This window comes from Homo sapiens, chromosome 17, assembly GCF_000001405.40.
Source record: "Homo sapiens chromosome 17, GRCh38.p14 Primary Assembly".
Classification (NCBI taxonomy): Eukaryota; Metazoa; Chordata; class Mammalia; order Primates; family Hominidae; genus Homo; species Homo sapiens.
In genome coordinates, this window is record NC_000017.11 from 82351912 (window position 1) to 82369961 (window position 18050).

At 52.4% G+C, this 18050-nt stretch overlaps 1 protein-coding gene across 1 annotated transcript, besides 4 other annotated features; it reads left to right on the plus strand.

Moving 5' to 3' along the window:
* Positions 34-910: an enhancer, noted in NCBI's record as "H3K4me1 hESC enhancer chr17:80309821-80310697 (GRCh37/hg19 assembly coordinates)". NCBI's record gives its function as "activates a minimal SCP1, AML or CMV promoter by ChIP-STARR-seq in naive H9 embryonic stem cells {active_cell/tissue: H9 hESC(naive)}" and the evidence as "EXISTENCE:reporter gene assay evidence [ECO:0000049][PMID:30033119]".
* Positions 3978-4913: an enhancer, noted in NCBI's record as "H3K4me1 hESC enhancer chr17:80313765-80314700 (GRCh37/hg19 assembly coordinates)". NCBI's record gives its function as "activates a minimal SCP1, AML or CMV promoter by ChIP-STARR-seq in naive H9 embryonic stem cells {active_cell/tissue: H9 hESC(naive)}" and the evidence as "EXISTENCE:reporter gene assay evidence [ECO:0000049][PMID:30033119]".
* Positions 7336-11864, plus strand: TEX19 (testis expressed 19). Its single transcript, NM_207459.4, has 2 exons — positions 7336-7374; positions 9969-11864. The coding sequence occupies exon 2, from the start codon at positions 10240-10242 to the stop codon at positions 10732-10734; it is 495 nt and encodes a 164-aa protein (NP_997342.1). The 5' UTR covers positions 7336-7374; positions 9969-10239; the 3' UTR covers positions 10735-11864.
* Positions 8522-8816: a silencer, noted in NCBI's record as "tiled region #9771; HepG2 Repressive non-DNase unmatched - State 23:Low". NCBI's record gives its function as "represses a minimal TATA promoter and a strong SV40 promoter by Sharpr-MPRA in HepG2 cells {active_cell/tissue: HepG2}" and the evidence as "EXISTENCE:reporter gene assay evidence [ECO:0000049][PMID:27701403]".
* Positions 11031-11809: an enhancer, noted in NCBI's record as "H3K4me1 hESC enhancer chr17:80320818-80321596 (GRCh37/hg19 assembly coordinates)". NCBI's record gives its function as "activates a minimal SCP1, AML or CMV promoter by ChIP-STARR-seq in primed H9 embryonic stem cells {active_cell/tissue: H9 hESC(primed)}" and the evidence as "EXISTENCE:reporter gene assay evidence [ECO:0000049][PMID:30033119]".

Here is an 18050-nt window from a genome sequence, read left to right on the forward strand (position 1 = left end):
AGACCAGGCCAATGGCAGGGCCCCTTTGCGGGCTTGGCTGATTTGATGGTACAAAAGCACGAGCGTCCGTGCAGACTGAAGTGACCACCAGGGGGTGCTATTGGCACACAGCAAGTTGGCGCCCAAATCCAGAGCCTAGAAATTGATCCTGCTGCCTCCGGGCTGCTCTGCCGCACCCACAGGTGCCCAGGGATGCCAGGCGCCTGCCCCAAGCCATGTGGGGGTGGCACAGGTGCACCCGGAAGCCCCCAGTTTCCATAATCTTCCCTCCCTGCCAGGAGGCGTGTGGGTTCGCCAAGTCCTGCTTCCAGTGCCTGCTTCTCCAGTCTCAGATCTCAGCGAGCACACCAGGGGTATGGGAGGCCTCACACCCAGGGGCTGTTGCAGCCACGCCGCTTCCTGTGTGTGGGCGCTGTGCATGGCAGGGTGGACACGACACCACCTCCCAGTTGTCATGGGCAGAGCCCCTTTCCTTGGACAGAACCCCTGGTGCCCACCCCTAGGAGGTAGGATCCAGACCAGTGGGCAGAGGAGGGGGAGGCCATGCTCCTTTGGGGCCATTTGTGTGCCTGGCGGTGGCCCCCATTGTGTCCCCAAGTGGGGTTTATGGTGTTGCCGAGGGCTGTGGGGGGCACGCCCAGTATCTGGAGCTTCTGGGTTGATTTGAGGGTTGTTCTGTGTGTCCAGGCCATGTGGGTTGGGCCACGGCCTGTGGCTAGGGTCTTTATGGAGCAGGATTGAGCCACATGTGGACAGGGTCCCTGTGGAGTAGGATTGAGGCCCCCTAATCTCCCAGCTCATTCTGCACAACTTTGGTTTTGCTCTGATTTAAAAATGAACAGATTAAACTGAAGTAAATATTTCAAGCTGTTTTTAACAAAAAAAAGGTGTTATTCATCATGCACAGTGCCCTCACTCAGATGACAGACAGCAATGAGCTTGGCTCTGCGGGGGCAGGCAGCTGGTGGCTGAGGGTGAGGCCAGCATGACATGGCTCTGATTTACCCAAAATGTTTAATACTTGCCATTTTTTTCTTAGTCTCATTTAATGTCTTTTTTTTTTTTTTTTTTTTTTGGAGACAGAGTCTCACTCTGTTGCCCAGGCTGGAGTGCAGTGGCGCAATCTCGGCTCACTGCAACCTCTACCTCCCGGGTTCAAGCAATTCTTCTGCCTCAGCCTCCCGTGTAGCTGGGATTACAGGCTCCCATCACCATGCCCAGCTAATTTTTGTATTTTTAGTAGAGACGGGGTTTCACCATGTTGGCCAGGCTGGTCTCGAACTCCTGACCTCCGGTGAGCCACCTGCCTTGGCCTCCCAAAGTGCTGGGATTACAGACGTGAGCCACCGTGCGGGGCTGTTTAATGTCTTTTTATGGAGATGCATTTTGTAGGGTGATGAGAGATGAGAGCAGAAAACAAAATCAAGCACCAGGGCCCCAGGTATGCGTCTTCCACATTTGGTTTATTTGATGAAGGAGTTCATGGCTAACAGGGCCCTATAGCCCAAGTGTGACCCAGATCTTTAGAACTGCGGGCCCTCCCTCAACTCCATCTCACCCAGTAGCATGAACCCTAAATCTACTATGGAGGCCTTAGGGAGAGAGGGTGTAGGAGGGTGGCTGCACTCTCATACCTTCCTACATCTGCTGGAGCCCAGGGCCCCCATCACAGGCAGCACCTGCTCCTGTAGGCTACAGACAGGGTCACGCAGGCGCCTGGAAACCGCTGCCAACTGCCAGGATTGGGTCTGCACCTGCCCCGGCCTCCCTGGCCCTGGGTGATGGGGGGAAGCCAAGAGGGGAGAGTCCCAGGGAACGTGACCCCCAAGTGTGTGGCTGCCCCGCCCCTCGCGGGTGTTCAAAGGCCAGGAGCCCTGGGATATTGGGAGGATGTTTCAGTATCCCCAAACCTGAAGGCACCCAGACTTCCAGAAAAGGCTGGCAATGGAGAGACAGGCAGCTTCTTTCTAAGCTGCATCATACCAGGAGGTCGCCAGGGGCACAGAGCTGCCCAGGGGCAGTGTTTCCACAGGTTTGGGCTATGGAAATGGGGACTTCTGGCCATCCTTCCTCTCTGGCCTTCTTCCAGCATCTCCCTCCAGGAGACACCAGTCCCCTTTCCCCATGGGACCACTCAGAGTCATGTCCAAGACCTTCCCCAATGGTGGTCTTTGCTGACATCTTAGGGCAGCCCCCACCCTTGCCACTGTGGATGAAGAAATCTCCTGGGGTGGTGGGGGCTCTGCTTCCTGGGGTCTCACGTGGCCGCCTCCACCCCCTCACTTGGTCCCCAGCTGCCTGGAAACCCACCCTAGATGGACTCAAGTTATCTGCAGATGTGTTTGACAGAACAGCAAGGATGTACCTGCAGTTTTGAAGACCCTGGGCTGGGCGGGATCACCACCTCTGCCTTTTTAGGGAAGGGACCCACAATTCCCAGCACTCATTTGCTCTTTTGCTGCTCAGGGACTGTCACTGCACAGGCCCTGGGGCCTATGGAGGAGTCACAGACTCTGGACTCAGGATGGGGCCCCAGGCCCCAACCAGGCTCTGGCCCAGCCCAGGGAAGATAATAATGCCCACCTTATGGAAATCCCACCCCAGGAGGGTTCAGGACAGACCCCAGGAGTGTTCAGGACAGAGCCCAGGAGTGTTCAGGACAGAGCCCAGGAGGGTTCAGGACAGACCCCAGGAGGGTTCAGGACAGACCCCAGAAGGGTTCAGGACAGAGCCCAGGAGGGTTCAGGACAGACCCCAGGAGGGTTCAGGACAGAGCTGGCCACAGCCGGGTACAGCGCCCAGGCCCTCTCTCCTTCCTTCCTCTCCTGCAACCATTCTTCCTACTTGAGAGTAAGATACAGAGACCTTGCTTTTTGCACTCTCTGGAGAATGTGTGACTGGTGATGTTCTTTCCTCTTATTTGCTTGCCTGTTTTCTAAATGTTTGATAATGAATTTGTTTACTTTGAAATAAGCAAACAATACCAAAAGTTATTTTTAAAAGGACAGCCTCTAAGTCCATGATTACAATTTGGATGATGAGCCAGTGTGGTCGAGGGTGTTCTGATCCTCACACAGCACTGGTGACAGACCTGACCAGGGCACGTGGAGGTGCTTCCACATGGCAGTGGCTTCTTGGTCCTTCAGAAGGATGGAGGCCACCAATGGGCCACGGAGCTGAGTAGGTGGACAAAGCAAATGAGCAGGAAGGGTGGGCTGGGAGTGAGGGGAGGGTGACTGTGGTCCCCTGGATAGTCTGTTGTAAAGAAGCCACCTCGGCTGGGCACGGTGGCTCATGCCTGTCATCCCAGCACTTTGGGAGGCCAAGGCGGGTGGATCACGAGGTCAAGAGATTGAGACCATCCTGGCCAACATGGTGAAACCCCATCTCTACTAAAAATACAAAAATCAGCTGGGCATGGTGACAGGCACCTGTAATCTCAGCTACTTGGGAGACTGAGGCAGGAGAATCACTTGAACCCGGGAGGTGGAGGTTGGCGTGAGCTGAGATCGCGCCATTGCACTCCAGCCTGGGCAACAAAAGTGAAAGTCCATCTCAAAAACAAACAAAAGAAACAGGCAGCTTCTCAGAACACATCTGTCCTCCATGTCCACGGGCGCATCCCACCCCTGGCCACCACCGTGTGGCTTTTCTCCGTGGAAGCAGAGGCCATGCATCACTCCCACAGGCAGCCTCTCTCTGACGAGCCTCAGTAGTAAATTCATGCAAGAAACAAAGAAAACTGCTCCTGTCCTTCTTCAGTGCTGTGCGGAGGAGCGAGAGGGAAAAGCCAACCATAACGCCATTGCATGTGCTGCTGAAATGCTTTGTGCAAACGTTGAGACTGGAGGTGAGGGCGGAACTTTGTAATATAAGAGCAGTAAGATAAATGTTGATTTTAAAATCCAAGTACTTGGACTTTGCTAGAATATTCCATAATCTTTTCCTGGTCTTGATTATTAAACAGTTTTCAAGAAAGTTCTATTTGGTGAGTCACCTGATGATCTAAACACACTTTTCTTTCTTGTTTGATTCCAGCTGGGTCACCTGCCAACAGAACCAAGCCCACTTGGGTTTTGGAGGCTTTGGGGGCTGGCTGGTTTCCCTGGGCATGATTGGTGACCTCAGGTCAGATTCCTGGACTTGCTGGGGATCCTGTGCCCAGGAAGGCACCAGCCCAGGAGGCTCTGAGCCTCAGCCAGGGATGCAGCAGGTTGGTAGCACCTTGGCAGCCATCCCGAGGACACAGGTAAGAAGCCAACAGAGAAGCAAGAATGTGTCTTATTAAAGCTGCTCCACTCCACAAGCATCTCTGGAATGTTCTCTGGGCCCCGGATCTGCGCGAGGCATTCTGGGTGAGACAGAGACGAAGCCGCTTGAGCTCGGAAGCCGGTGCTCAAAGAGCGTGACGTGGCCTCACCCCATTCCTCTGCAGGGCTCAGCTGGCACCTGCACCCCCGAGGTAGCTGGGGGCCCCTGAGCTTGGCCAGGCCCATCTGGCAGCCTTGTCCCTGCTTGTCCACCCCCTCTGGGTTGCGTTCAGCTTCCTGAGCTCCCCCTCTTCACCCGTTCCTAACACAAGAGCTTGTGCACCCCAGGATGGTGGGGATGGGGTTCTGGCTCGTGGGCAATCTGGGTGTCAGGCTTACGGCCCCAGTGGCTCCGGGTCATGGCCTTGGCCCCACAATGGCTGTGCTGCCCCATCAGTGGTCTCTGCAGCTGGGGAAATGCCTGGTCCTTCTGGAGATACAGGAGTGTTGGATTCCCCGATTATGGCCACGTCCTGTTCCTCTGGTACCATCCACCCACCAAGTCTTGCCACGGTTTCCCTCTGGGCCTCAAATCCAGCTGTCCATCCCAACATCTGTCTCAAGTGGCCTCTCCTGTACCCAGCTGCCCAGGAAGCGATCCAAAGGCTCCGTCCCAGGCTGCTGAGGTGACTGAGGACCTTGAGAGGGTCCTACACTCTCAGACCAGGGTGAGGCCGAGGCCCGAGAGGCAAGTCCCTGCCCAGGCCCTGGCTGGCCAGGACGCGCTGGCCACAGCTTCCCAGAGTGGACGCTGCCCTGCACCCGCCAACACTTCCCCGTCAGCTTCCCGGTCCCACACCGCTCCTGCTGGCAACGAGGTCGCAGCATATTAAATTCTCGACGCAACTACTGTGTGAAAAAGCCATGCAAACCAGCGAGGAGCCTGCTTACCACAGGGGCCCTCAGAGGGCTCTGCTGCTCCTCGGTCAAAACCTCCTTTAGGCAGTGACTCTGGCAGCTGCCGGCTGGGCTGTGTCCTGAGAACTGAGGCTGGGAGGGGCCAGGTGGGAGGGACCTCATCCTCCAGGCGCCCACTGGCCCAGCCCTGAGTGTTCACGACAGGTGCAGGGCTCCCTCCCCGGCCCCCTTCTGGCCAGGGCAGCCACAGCTCAGCCCCGAGGCCTTGAGTGGCCTTTTCAGAGAAAACCAGGACCTGGGGGCTCCTCCCGGGAGCCTCTGACCCCCAGACCCATAAACAGGCTTCTCTGTGGGGTCCCTCAACCACTACTTTCCTCTCACCTGAGGGGACCAGCCAGACAGCTCAGGCACCCGAGTCTTTAGGGAATGAGCTCACTGCCCTCTCCACCCACAGCAGGACACCTGGCAGCCAAAGCCCCACACCTGCCCCTATCCCAGGACTGGGACGAGGAAGCCCCAGGGTGAGGGGTGGCCCTGATCTGAGCCCTAACCTGGTGGGGGTGGCAGGCAGCCCCAGGTGTGTGGATGACCTGAGCCAGGCACAGACAGCTGCCAGGTGGGGAGGAGCAGAGGTCATGGGGATGTAGGGAAAGGGTTTGGGGGTTCCTCCCACAGGGCCACTGTGTGAGACAATTTGTCACTTTCTTACAAAACTAAACACACTCTGACCACAGCATCCAGCAATCTCACTCCTTAGAGTTTACCAAAATGAGTTGAGAACTTATGTCTACAGACACCTGCACATGAATATTTGTAGTAGCTTTATTCATAATTGCCCAAACCTGGGAGCAACCAAGATGTCTTTCCATAGGTGAATGGATAAATAAACCATGGTACATCCAGACAATGGAATACCATTCAGTGTTAAAAAATAAGTGAGCTGGCCATGCAAGGTGGCTCACGTCTGTAATCCCAGCACTGTGGGAGGCAGAGGCAGGCGGATCACTTGAGCCCAAGTGTTTGATACCAGTGTGGGCAACATGGTGAGGCCCTGTCTCACAAAAAATACAAAACTTATCGGGGTGTGCACCAGCACCTGTAGTCCCAGCTATTTGGGAGGCTGAGGTGAGAAAATCACAGGAGCCCAGGAGGTTGAGGCTGTAGTAGCTGTGATTTCACCAGTGCATTCCAGCCTGGGTGACAGAGCAAGACTCTGTCTCAAAAAAAAAAAAAAAAAAAAAAAGAAGTGAACTATCAAACCACAAAAGACATGGAAGAACCAAAGTGCGTATTACTAAAAAAGAAGTTGAAAAGGCTACATAATGTATGAGTCCAGCTCTGTGACATTTTGGAAAAGGCAAAATTAAGGAGACAGTCAAAAGATTCCTGGTTGCCAGGGGCTGGGAGAGGGAGTGATGAAAATGCAGAACACAGATGAATCGGGGCGGAGAAACCCGTCTGTACAATATTAGAGTGGTGGGTCTGCATGATTATACATGTGTCCAAACCTGCAGAATGCACAGCACCGGAGGAAAGCATAATGGAAACTGCAGAGGGCGATGATGATAATAACAACGTGTAACAAATGGCTGGGACGGGAGGACTGGGGAAGGCTGTGCACCTGCAGGAGCAGGGGAGCGGTGGGAGAGCTCCATGCTTTTGGCTCAATTTTGCTATGAACCTAAAACTGCTGTAAAAAATAGAGTCTACTGAAAAAACAAGTGTTAATTTATAAGCGTCTTGTTTAAAGAGCGAAGAGATGAACCACAAAGGGGAAAATGTGTTTAAACAATAACTAATTGACAATTGGCTGGTTCTTAAAATTCAGAGAACTTTAAGACAGAGACAGCAAAGCAGGGATCACGTTTTACAAACGCGGCAGGACCAGGACGTCGTGCCCACGACGGGCCAGCAACCACAGGCTGGATGCTCACCCTGTGCCAGCCTGCAGACGGAGAGCACCCACCCCAATCTCCAGCCCCCAGAGGAGCTGCCTCTCCAGGGCCTTCCTGCAGGTGCCCAGGGGCTGCACATGGCCCTCCTTGGAGGGAGCTGGTGACTCAGCACTTTCATTTCCTGGAAACTGAGGCTCATGGGAGATATGCAGATGAGCCCAGAGCACCATGGGAAATGGCCCTTTATATACCCAAATGGGCTCTGCCTCCTCCTTTCCCTGGGTGCCCACATGAACAGAGACACCAGGATGGTGAGATCTCCCGAGGAGGGGTCTCTGAGGAGGGGTCTCGGAGACACGGCCTGGTGCTGGGTGAGGGGTTGGGAGGCTGAAGCGGGGCCAGGATTCCTCAGGTTCCCTCAGTTTCCCTCAAATTTCCCTCAGTTTCCCTCAGGTTCCCTAAGGTTCTCCAAGTTCCCTCAAATTTCCCTCAGTTTCCCTCAGGTTCCCTCAGTTTCCCTCAAGTTTCCCTCAGTTTCCCTCAGGTTCCCTCAGTTTCCCTCAGGTTCCCTCAGTTTCCCTCAAGTTTCCCTCAGTTTCCCTCAGGTTCCCTCAGTTTCCCTCAAGTTTCCCTCAGGTTCCCCCAGTTTCCCTCAAGTTTCCCTCAGCTTCCCTCAGGTTCCCCCAGTTTCCCTCAGGTTCCCTCAGTTTCCCTCAAGTTTCCCTCAGTTTCCCCCAGTTTCCCTCAAATTTCCCTCAGTTTCCCTCAGGTTCCCTCAGTTTCCCCCAGCTTCCCTCAGGTTCCCTCAGTTTCCCTCAAGTTCCCCTCAGTTTCCCCCAGTTTCCCTCAGGTTCCCCCAGTTTCCCTCAAGTTCCCCTCAGGTTCCCCCAGTTTCCCTCAAGTTTCCCTCGGGTTCCCCCAGTTTCCCTCAGGTTCCCCCAGTTTCCCTCAGTTTCCCTCAAGTTTCCCTCAGGTTCCCCCAGTTTCCCTCAGGTTCCCTCAGTTTCCCTCAAGTTTCCCTCAGGTTCCCCCAGTTTCCCTCAGGTTCCCTCAGGTTCCCCCAGTTTCCCCCAGGTTCCCCCAGTTTCCCCCAGTTTCCCTCAAGTTTCCCTCAGGTTCCCCCAGTTTCCCTCAGGTTCCCTCAGTTTCCCTCAAGTTTCCCTCAGGTTCCCCCAGTTTCCCTCAGGTTCCCTCAGTTTCCCTCAGGTTCCCCCAGTTTCCCCCAGGTTCCCCCAGTTTCCCCCAGTTTCCCTCAAGTTTCCCTCAGGTTCCCCCAGTTTCCCTCAGGTTCCCTCAGGTTCCCCCAGTTTCCCCCAGTTTCCCTCAGGTTCCCCCAGTTTCCCTCAGGTTCCCTCAGTTTCCCTCAGGTTCCCCCAGTTTCCCTCAGTTTCCCCCAGTTTCCCTCAAGTTTCCCTCAGGTTCCCCCAGTTTCCCTCAGGTTCCCTCAGTTTCCCTCAGGTTCCCCCAGTTTCCCTCAGGTTCCCTCAAGTTTCCCTCAGGTTCCCCCAGTTTCCCTCAGGTTCCCTCAGGTTCCCTCAGTTTCCCTCAGGTTCCCCCAGTTTCCCTCAGTTTCCCCCAGTTTCCCTCAAGTTTCCCTCAGGTTCCCCCAGTTTCCCTCAGGTTCCCCCAGTTTCCCTCAGGTTCCCTCAGTTTCCCTCAGGTTCCCCCAGTTTCCCTCAGGTTCCCTCGGGTTCCCTCAAGTTTCCCTCAGGTTCCCCCAGTTTCCCTCAGGTTCCCTCAGTTTCCCTCAAGTTTCCCTCAGGTTCCCCCAGTTTCCCTCAGGTTCCCCCAGTTTCCCTCAAGTTTCCCTCAGGTTCCCCCAGTTTCCCTCAGGTTCCCCCAGTTTCCCTCAGGTTCCCTCAGTTTCCCCCAGTTTCCCTCAGGTTCCCCCAGTTTCCCTCAGGTTCCCTCAGTTTCCCCCAGTTTCCCTCAAGTTTCCCTCAGGTTCCCCCAGTTTCCCTCAGGTTCCCTCAGTTTCCCTCAGGTTCCCCCAGTTTCCCTCAGGTTCCCTCAGTTTTCCCCAGTTTCCCTCAGGTTCCCTCAGTTTCCCTCAGGTTCCCTCAGTTTCCCCCAGTTTCCCTCAGGTTCCCCCAGTTTCCCTCAGTTTCCCTCAGGTTTCCTCAAGTTGCCTCAGTTTCCTTCAGGTTCCCTCAATTTCCATCAGGTCCCCTCAGGCTCTGCCAGTTTCCCTCAGGTTCCCCCAGTTTCCCTCAGGTTCCCTCAGTTTCCCCCAGTTTCCCTCAGGTTCCCCCAGTTTCCCCCAGTTTCCCTCAAGTTTCCCTCAGGTTCCCCCAGTTTCCCTCAGTTTCCCCCAGTTTCCCTCAGGTTCCCCCAGTTTCCCTCAGTTTCCCTTAGGTTTCCTCAAGTTGCCTCAGTTTCCTTCAGGTTCCCTCAATTTCCATCAGGTCCCCTCAGGCTCTGCCAGTTTCCCTCAGGTTCCCCCAGTTTCCCTCAGGTTCCCTCAGTTTCCCCCAGTTTCCCTCAGGTTCCCTCAGTTTCCCCCAGTTTCTCTCAGGTTCCCCCAGTTTCCCTCAGTTTCCCCCAGTTTCCCTCAGGTTCCCCCAGTTTCCCTCAGGTTCCCTCAGGTTCCCCCAGTTTCCTTCAGGTTCCCTCAATTTCCATCAGGTCCCCTCAGGCTCTGCCAGTTTCCCTCATGTTCCCCCAGGTTCTGTCAGGTGAAGCTGATGGGCTGTTGGGGTCCCTGAGGTGTAGGGGGTGGCTGATGAGCCCGGGGAGGTCGGATGGAGGAACTGAAGGCCTCCCAGCCCCGGTGCTGTTCAAACTGAGCAGGGTCCCCACTAAAGGGCCAGTCTGAACCCCAACATCCCTGCCCCTGCTGGTCCCCACAGTTTGCCCCCACCCTGCCTGCTGGGGGTGCCTAACCTCCCTTCCTTTGCCTTTCCAGCTCTCCTGAGACCACAGCAACTGCAGAAGCTGAAGACATTTCCAGAAGTTCAAGCTTCCACCCTCTGCAGGTCCCCACTGAGCTGGGACCCAGGTCATCCACCCCACCCCAAATCCCTGGATAGGAAACCCCTTTCTCCTCCTGCTCCTTGTCCCCTTCATCCCTGCCGCCCAGCATCCTACTGGCCTCAGCACCTGTGGCCAGACCGTCCAAGATCCTCTGAAGGCCCAGCTCTTGCTGTCCACCCCGGCAGTAGGCAGGCAGCCTGGCCATGTGCCCTCCGGTCAGCATGCGGTATGAGGAAGAGGGCATGTCCTACCTCTACGCCTCCTGGATGTATCAGCTTCAACATGGAGATCAGCTAAGCATTTGCTTCACCTGCTTCAAGGCTGCCTTTCTAGACTTTAAAGACTTGCTGGAGTCAGAGGACTGGGAAGAAGACAACTGGGACCCTGAGCTGATGGAGCACACTGAGGCAGAGTCAGAGCAGGAGGGGTCCTCAGGGATGGAGCTGAGCTGGGGGCAGAGCCCAGGACAGCCTGTGCAGGGGGGCTCTGAGGCATGGGGGCCAGGGACCCTGGCAGCAGCCCCAGAAGGGTTGGAAGATGCAGGTCTGGACCCCCACTTTGTCCCCACTGAACTATGGCCTCAGGAGGCTGTGCCCCTGGGCCTGGGCCTTGAGGATGCTGACTGGACCCAGGGTCTTCCCTGGAGATTTGAGGAGCTTCTTACCTGCTCACACTGGCCAAGCTTCTTTCCTTCATAGCAGGGGTTTCTCAAAGTGGACCTGCCCCCAGGGGAGCCCGTGGTGTTGAAGCTGGGCATTACCTGGGCAGTGGACCCTGCCGAGGCTGAGGCCTAGTTACTGGCCCTGCAGCTTGTCTCCATGGTGGGCTGCTATGATACCATCTACCTACAGAAGATGACCCCAGACAGGGCCCTGAGGACCCCAGGGCAGCACTGGAAATTGCTGCTGGAGCCTGGTGAAGTGTGGGTGGTGAGACTCCAAGATGCACCCCAAGAGCAGGACCTGCACTGGTGGATGCTGAGCATTCTAGAAACATCGTTAACAGGACACAGGGCAGAGCTGGTCCCTGCAGCCTCAGCCCTGCAGAAGAGGATTCACCATAGTCTCTTATTCACCCTGGACCAACAGGGAGAGCAAGAAGGGAGACTCAGCCTGTAAGCCACAGTCCTCCAGCCAAGAACAGGATCTCAGCACCCCTGAGACACAGAGCAGGGGTCCTGAGGAAAGCCTGGCTGTTGCAGGAGCCTCGGCCATGGGGGAGCTGCCCTGTTTCCAGCCTCAGTCCAGGGCCCCAGAACTGAGAGACTAAGGCTCATGTAGCTGCCATTGTCCTGGGCACACCAGGACATCAGAGACTGGGAAGGGCCAGCAATTGCTGTTCCACAACAGCCAGGGGAGCAGTTGGCAAAGGAAACATGGGGAGCAACTTTAGGGGCTGGGAGATAGGGCCTGTTGTGGCCTCAGAGGGAAGCATTACAAATATTCATAACCTGGAAACAAGTTCTTACCAGTTGATTGTCACATAGTTCTGGATGTGTTGGCCTGAATGGCTGTTGTGCTGCTTGTGACATGGGGGGCAGGGCACAGAACTTGTGCCTATTTCACCTTGGCCATGGGGAGGGACATTGCTTGTAAAACACATGCTCTGCAGAACACACCAGAATCTGTGGTGACCTGGATGTGTTCTCGACTTTGCCAGGACAATCTCAGGGGTGCCACAAGACCCTGTCAGCAGCACTAGGATCTCTGGTCTACAGTGGAGGGAGAGCTGGTTTTAAATGTTGGCCGTTGATGCAATTTAACCATTTAATTCCTGTTGCTCTATATGTTGTTTTTAATTTTAAAAAGTCATAAAAGCTTTCAAACAAGCTCCTGTGTAAGTCATTCCTCAGCAAGTTTTGTTGATTGGCCTTATCCTTGTCCTCTCAGTATCTGGGCTAAGCCACTTTGCTGGCTTGAAATCCCACCAAATGGTGGGAACAGAGGATAGAAGGGAAGAGGAGCACGGGAGAGATGAGGGTTCTGGTCGGTTTCCAGGCTCATCATGGGAGTTTGTTTCACATTATTTATAAAGAAATACAGGGCCAGGCACAGTGGCACATGCCTATAACCCCAGCATTTTGGGATTAGGTCAGCCCAGGAATTCGAAACCAGCCTCGGCATCATAGTGAGATTTCATCTCTACTAACAATAAAAAAAGTTAGCTGGGTGTGGTGGCATGCACATGTAGTCCCATCTACTCAGGAGGCTGAGGCAGGAGGATTGCTTGAGTCCAGGAGGTCAAGACCGCAGTGAGCTGTGATTGTACCACTGCACTTCAGCCTGGGCGACAGAGCAAGACCCTGTATCAAAAAATAAAATAGGCCAGGCGAGGTGGCACATGCCTGTAATCCCGGCACTTTGGGAGGCCGAGGCGGGTGGATCACGAGCTCAGGGGTTTGAGACCAACCTGGGCAACGTGGCAAAACACTATCTCTACAAAAAATACAAAAATGATCCAGGCGTGGTGGTGTGTGCCTGTAGTCCCAGCTACTTGGAAGGCTGAGGTGGGAGGATTGCTTGAGCCTGGGAGTTCACGCTGCAGTGAGCCAAGATCATGCCATTACACTCCAGCCTGGGCAACAGTGAGACCCTATATCAAAAAATAAAAATAAATAAATAAAAATACATACTTAAAGAACAGCCATGTTTTGAACAATAAAAATGTGTTGTCAAACATATAATTAATATAGATATGTGCCCCAAAATTTTTTTTAAGTCTATAGACCAAACCACATGTAAAGGTTGCTAATGTTGGCCAGGCACGGTGGCTCACGCCTGTAATCCCAGCACTTTGGGAGGCCGAGGTGGGTGGATCACGAGGTCAGGAAGTCGAGACCATCCTGGCCAACATGGTGAAATCCCGTCTCTACTAAAAATACAAAAATTAGCTGGGCGTGGTGGCGCGTGCCTGTAATCCCAGCCACTTGGAAGGCTGAGGCAAGAGAATCGCTTGAACCTGGGAGGCGGAGGTTGCAGTGAGCCAAGATCGTGCCATTGAACTCCATCCTAGGTGAGAGAGTGAGACTCCATCTAAAAAAAAAAAAAGTTTGCTAATGTTGAGGAGACAGATGATGCCAATGATGATGATGGCTATGACGGTGGTGATGGTTATAGTGGTGGTGGTAATAATGGTGATGGAGATAGTGAAGATAGTAAAGAAGGCCCACAGGAAGAGACCTGAAGGATAAAGGGCTCTGCCTCCTTGGATTTGGCTGCTGCTGAGGCCCCTCCATTAGTTTCAGCATTGGGGCCCTCCGCTGCTGTCAGACACGGATGTGGATGATAGTCCTTCAAGAAGGAGGTGGGGCCCCTGACCTCCTTGCCTCCCAGGAAGGCAGGAAGAAGTGGAATGAGCACGCTGAGAAGGAAGGAACCCCCACACTCTGTTACATGACACGGGGTGAGGAGTTTGGCCCCATGGCGTGGTACACACGTGTGCCTTTGGTTGTATGCTTGCAAGAGAAATCTGGGGCCTCTGGGGTTTCTGCCCTCACCCCAGCCCTGACTCTGACCTTTGGAATCCCTGGAGGGGCTTTCTAGAGCTCTGCATCCAGCCTCTTCACTCAGGACGTGAGGTTTCCTGAATCCTGAACTGGAACCTTTTCCCAAAGGTTAGCCAGCTTTCAAGTGGCCTCATGGGGCCAGGGAGGCTGTAGTGTTGGGACTCCCAGGGGGCCCCCAAAAGTTGATTCTGAGAAAAGACTATTATGTACACTAGACATTTCTCCTCACTCTCCCTATGTCTGAGCTTTCACGAGCTTGGACACTTTAAGTCAGGGGAAGTGCTCGGAATTCCATGTTGTCTCCTGCCAGCTTAAGCCCTTTCATCCCCTGCAATTGCTCAGATGTCTGAGGCTCTCTGCTAATTAATAGGGCCACCACCAGCTGGAGACCCGTGCAGGTTCTAATTGGTTTGATTCATGTTACCATCTCTCCAGCTGTGTCTCATATCTGGAGGTGTTTGAGACCAAGACTGGGGAAATTGTGGTGCCTGAGGTCAAAAGTAAAGGAAAATACCAACAGCAGCATCAAGGGAAGTGTCTCCTGGAAGAGTAAAGTGAAATCACCAGCTGCAGAGGTGCTCTGGGAGAGGTGGGAGGCCCTGCAGGGGTGTCCCCCTGGGACCTCCTTCCAAAAGAAAGAGCCCTCAGCTCTGGGTAATGAAGTGGGCCCACGCTCCCTGGGCAGGATCCCAGGCAGCTGATGGCTGATGGCTGAGCTCTAGTTGGGGCTTTGAGGGCCTGGCCGTTTCTGCACGGCCCAGTCTTTGCTCCTCATGAGGTTCCCTAACTCCATCTGGGGTGCACTCAGCCTGAGCTGCCTCCACCCCTCACTTTTATTCCCTTATTTATTTTTATTTTTATTTTCTTTTTATAGAGACAGGGTCTCACTATGTTGCTCGGGCTGGCCTTGAACTCCTGGGCTCAAGCGATCCTCCCACCTCAGCCTCCCAAAGTGTTAGGATTACAGATATGAGCCACTGCGCTCGGCCACGTTCCCTTATTTTCATCAAGCATCTCTGCCCCAGTGTCTGCGGCAGGATGGGCCTCTGGTCTCTAAGCACCTGAGAGGTGGAGTGGGTTCTGAACAAAGCATCCTCTTCAAGTCTGAAAAACACAAACATCAGGCTGGATGGGCACCTGAAAAGAGCCCCATGAAACCAGCTCTGTCTGTGGAACCTCATTTTCTACAGAATTTAGTAATCCAATTGGAAAGTACTTCTTTCACAAAAATTATCATTGCAAAACATAATGAACCCATTAAGTGCAGAGCAAAGCTTCAAAAGTCACATTTGTGGAAAATGGGAGCTTTATGATTATGATTTATGATTTAATGGTCCATAAAGTGAATCATAGGCAGGCAGAGCCACTTTGCACTAAAGCGCTGGGATTACAGGTGTGAGCCACCGCGCCCGGCCTGAAATGTGAATTCTTACACAACAACAAAGAGCTTTCCAACTGTGTAATTTCACTCACCCTTCTCCAGAGACCTGGTGCTATTGTTGTCTTGGATATTAGTTGACACGTGTTATCATCATCATGCGCCACCAGAGCTATTGCTGCATAGTCCTCATCTTTTTAATTTACAAACATATTTACCTTCCTGGTGCACTTCATTTTTCCATGCACTTCCGAGTTTCTATCTGGGGTCATTTTCTGTCAGCAGAAGGAAAGCCTGAGGAGCTCCTTTAGTATTTTTTTGTGCTGTGACAAATGTTCTTAGCTTTGTCTGAAAGTATCTATATTTTATTGTACATAAATTGTTGGTTAAAATTCTTTATTTTGGTACTTTAAAGAGGTCATTCTCTTTCGGTTTCCATGGTTTTCTGAGGAGATCTAGTCATCTTTCCTATTGTTATTCCCTGAATGCATTGTCTTTTTTTTTTTTTTAATCTCAATAATTTTTACAGTTTCTGTTTACCTTTGGTTTTTGGAATTTTTTACTACAATGCGCTGGAGTTGTTTGCTTTTAGTTTTTTCCTGCTTGTGATTTACTAAGATTCTAATGTCTGTAAGTTGACATTGCTTATCAATTTTGAAAATTTCAGCCACTGCCTTTTCAGATATTGCTCCTGCCCCATTTTCCTCTGTTGTTGATCTGGGGACTCCAGTGACATGTACGTCAGATCATTTGATGGTGTGGTTCCACAGGCTTTTCTGTTTTTCATTCTTTTCTCTTTCTGTGTCTGGATAATTTCTATTGACCTACCTTTAAGTTAACTGATTCTTTCTTCTGCTGTGATTTCTGAATTTTAGATACTGTACTTTTAAAAGTTATAAAATGTCCATTTGACCCTTGTGAGAAAGAAACTCATCCGTCCAAATCCAAAGAACTGACTCAGGGACCTGGAGAACAGCGAAAGCGAGGCTTTTAATGACGGCAAGATCGGGTGTCTGGTGGGCAGGCACACCCAGCAGTTTCAACAAGCAATTTATCCCCTAGTGCACAGATCCCTCCCCCGGTTCCTCATAGGCTGAGTACTCTGGGGTCACAGTCTTCCCGCATGTCGCCTATTGGTTGTTGGGCAGGGGCTGTAGGGCACAGGTCCCTCCCCAGCTTCCTCATAGGCTGAGTACTAGGGGATCACAGTCTTCCTGCATGTCGCCTATTGGTTGTTGGGCAGGGGCTGCAGGGTGCAGGTCCCTCCCCAGGTTCCTCATAGGCTGAGTACTCTCGGGTCACAATCTTCCCGGATGTCGCCTATTGGTTGTTGGGCAGGTGCTGTAGGTGTTTTCTTCAGGGTTGTCCTGCTGCATTTTGTTGCAGCCCACAATGCATTGCAATCCTAGTTAGCTCAGGGGCTCTTTAAGTATTTGACTTATGACCTAAGTAGCTGGGCAGGCTGATAAGAATAGATCAAACCAGCTATTTTGCAGGCTAGTAAAATTTCATCTTAAACTTCTTTGATTTGGGTGAGGGCAACTAAGAGGGGGTTAAAAGGGAGTGGATGAGGCCGACAAGCAGGCATCCACTATCCAAGCTGGGGCCTAGTATATCCTGTTCTTCTGTAGTTTGCTGACCTAAGCCGATTCAAGGCACACTGTCTTGGAAATGGACCACTGTATACATTATTTCCTTCACCCTTTAAAAAATTTTTTTAGAAATAGAAATGGAGGGTCTCATTATGTGCCCAGGCTGGTCTCAAACTTCTAGACTCGAGTGATCATCCTGCCTCAGTTTTCAAAAGTACTGGGATTGGCCGGGTGCGGTGGCTCATGCCTGTAATCCTAGCACTTTGGGAGGCCGAGGTGGGCAGATCACGAGGTCAGGAGTTCAAGACCAGCCTGGCCAAGATAGTGAAAGCCCATCTCTACTAAAAATACAAAAATTAGGCTGAGAGCGGTGGTGGGCACCTGTAATCCCAGCACTTTGGGAGGCCGAGGCGGGCGGATCACGAGGTCAGGAGATCGAGACCATCCTGGCTAACACAGTGAAACCCCGTCTCTACTAAAAATACAAAAAATTAGCCAGGCACGGTGGTGGGCACCTGTAGTCCCAGCTACTCGGGAGGCTGAGGCAGGAGAATGGCATGAACCCGGGAGGCAGAGCTTGCAGTGAGCCGAGATTGCGCCACTGCACTCCAGCCTGGGCGACCAGCGAGACTCTGTCTCAAAAAAAAAAAAAAAAATACAAAAATTAGTTGGGTGTGGTGGTGGGCACCTGTAATCCCAGTCACTCGGGAGGCTGAGGCAGAGAATTGCTTGAACCTGGGAGGCGGAGGTTGCAGTGAGTCAAGATCACGCCACTGCACTCCAGCCTGGGCGACAGAGTGAGACTCCATCTCAAAAAAAAAAAAAAAAAAAAAAGTGCTGGGATTACAGGTGTTAGCCACAGTGCCCAGCCTGGGAATTTCTAATAAAAGAGTCAAATGGGGTTGGGCGTAGTGGCTGGGCAACATGGTGAAACTTGTCTCTACAAAAAATACAAAAATTAGCCAAGTGTAGTGTAGCGGTGCATGTCTGTAGTCCCAGCTACTCGGGAGGTAGGAGAATTGCTTGAGTGTAGGAAGTCAAAGAAAGCTGCGGTGAGCCATGATCACACCCCTGCACTCCAGCCTGGGCGAGCCTAGGCTAGACCTTAGAGCGAGACCCTGTCTCAAATAAAGAAAGAAATACATTCCCATTTTCTGGTGAAAATTTCCATCTTTTCATGCATGTTGCCCAGGTTCTTCTGCTTGCTTTACTATATTTGTAACAGTTTTTGTAAAACAGAAACTCCTGGTCTGCTAATTCCAATACTTGTGTCACATATGGACCTGCTTCTATCGGCTATTTTTCCCCCATCAATTATGGATCACATAAGATATGAAGCAGCAAGGAAACAATAATCAGATTATTATTTCCTTGCTGAAGCATTTTATACATAGCAACTGTCAAAGTCCAAATATACAGACAAATCTTTAAGTTTAATGTTTAATTTTAGGAAGAATTTCAATTCGGTATGTTCAAGAACAAAAGAAAATCGGGATTCTTTTGGAAAGAGAAACGTTATCTATTGCTTTGAAAGAAAGC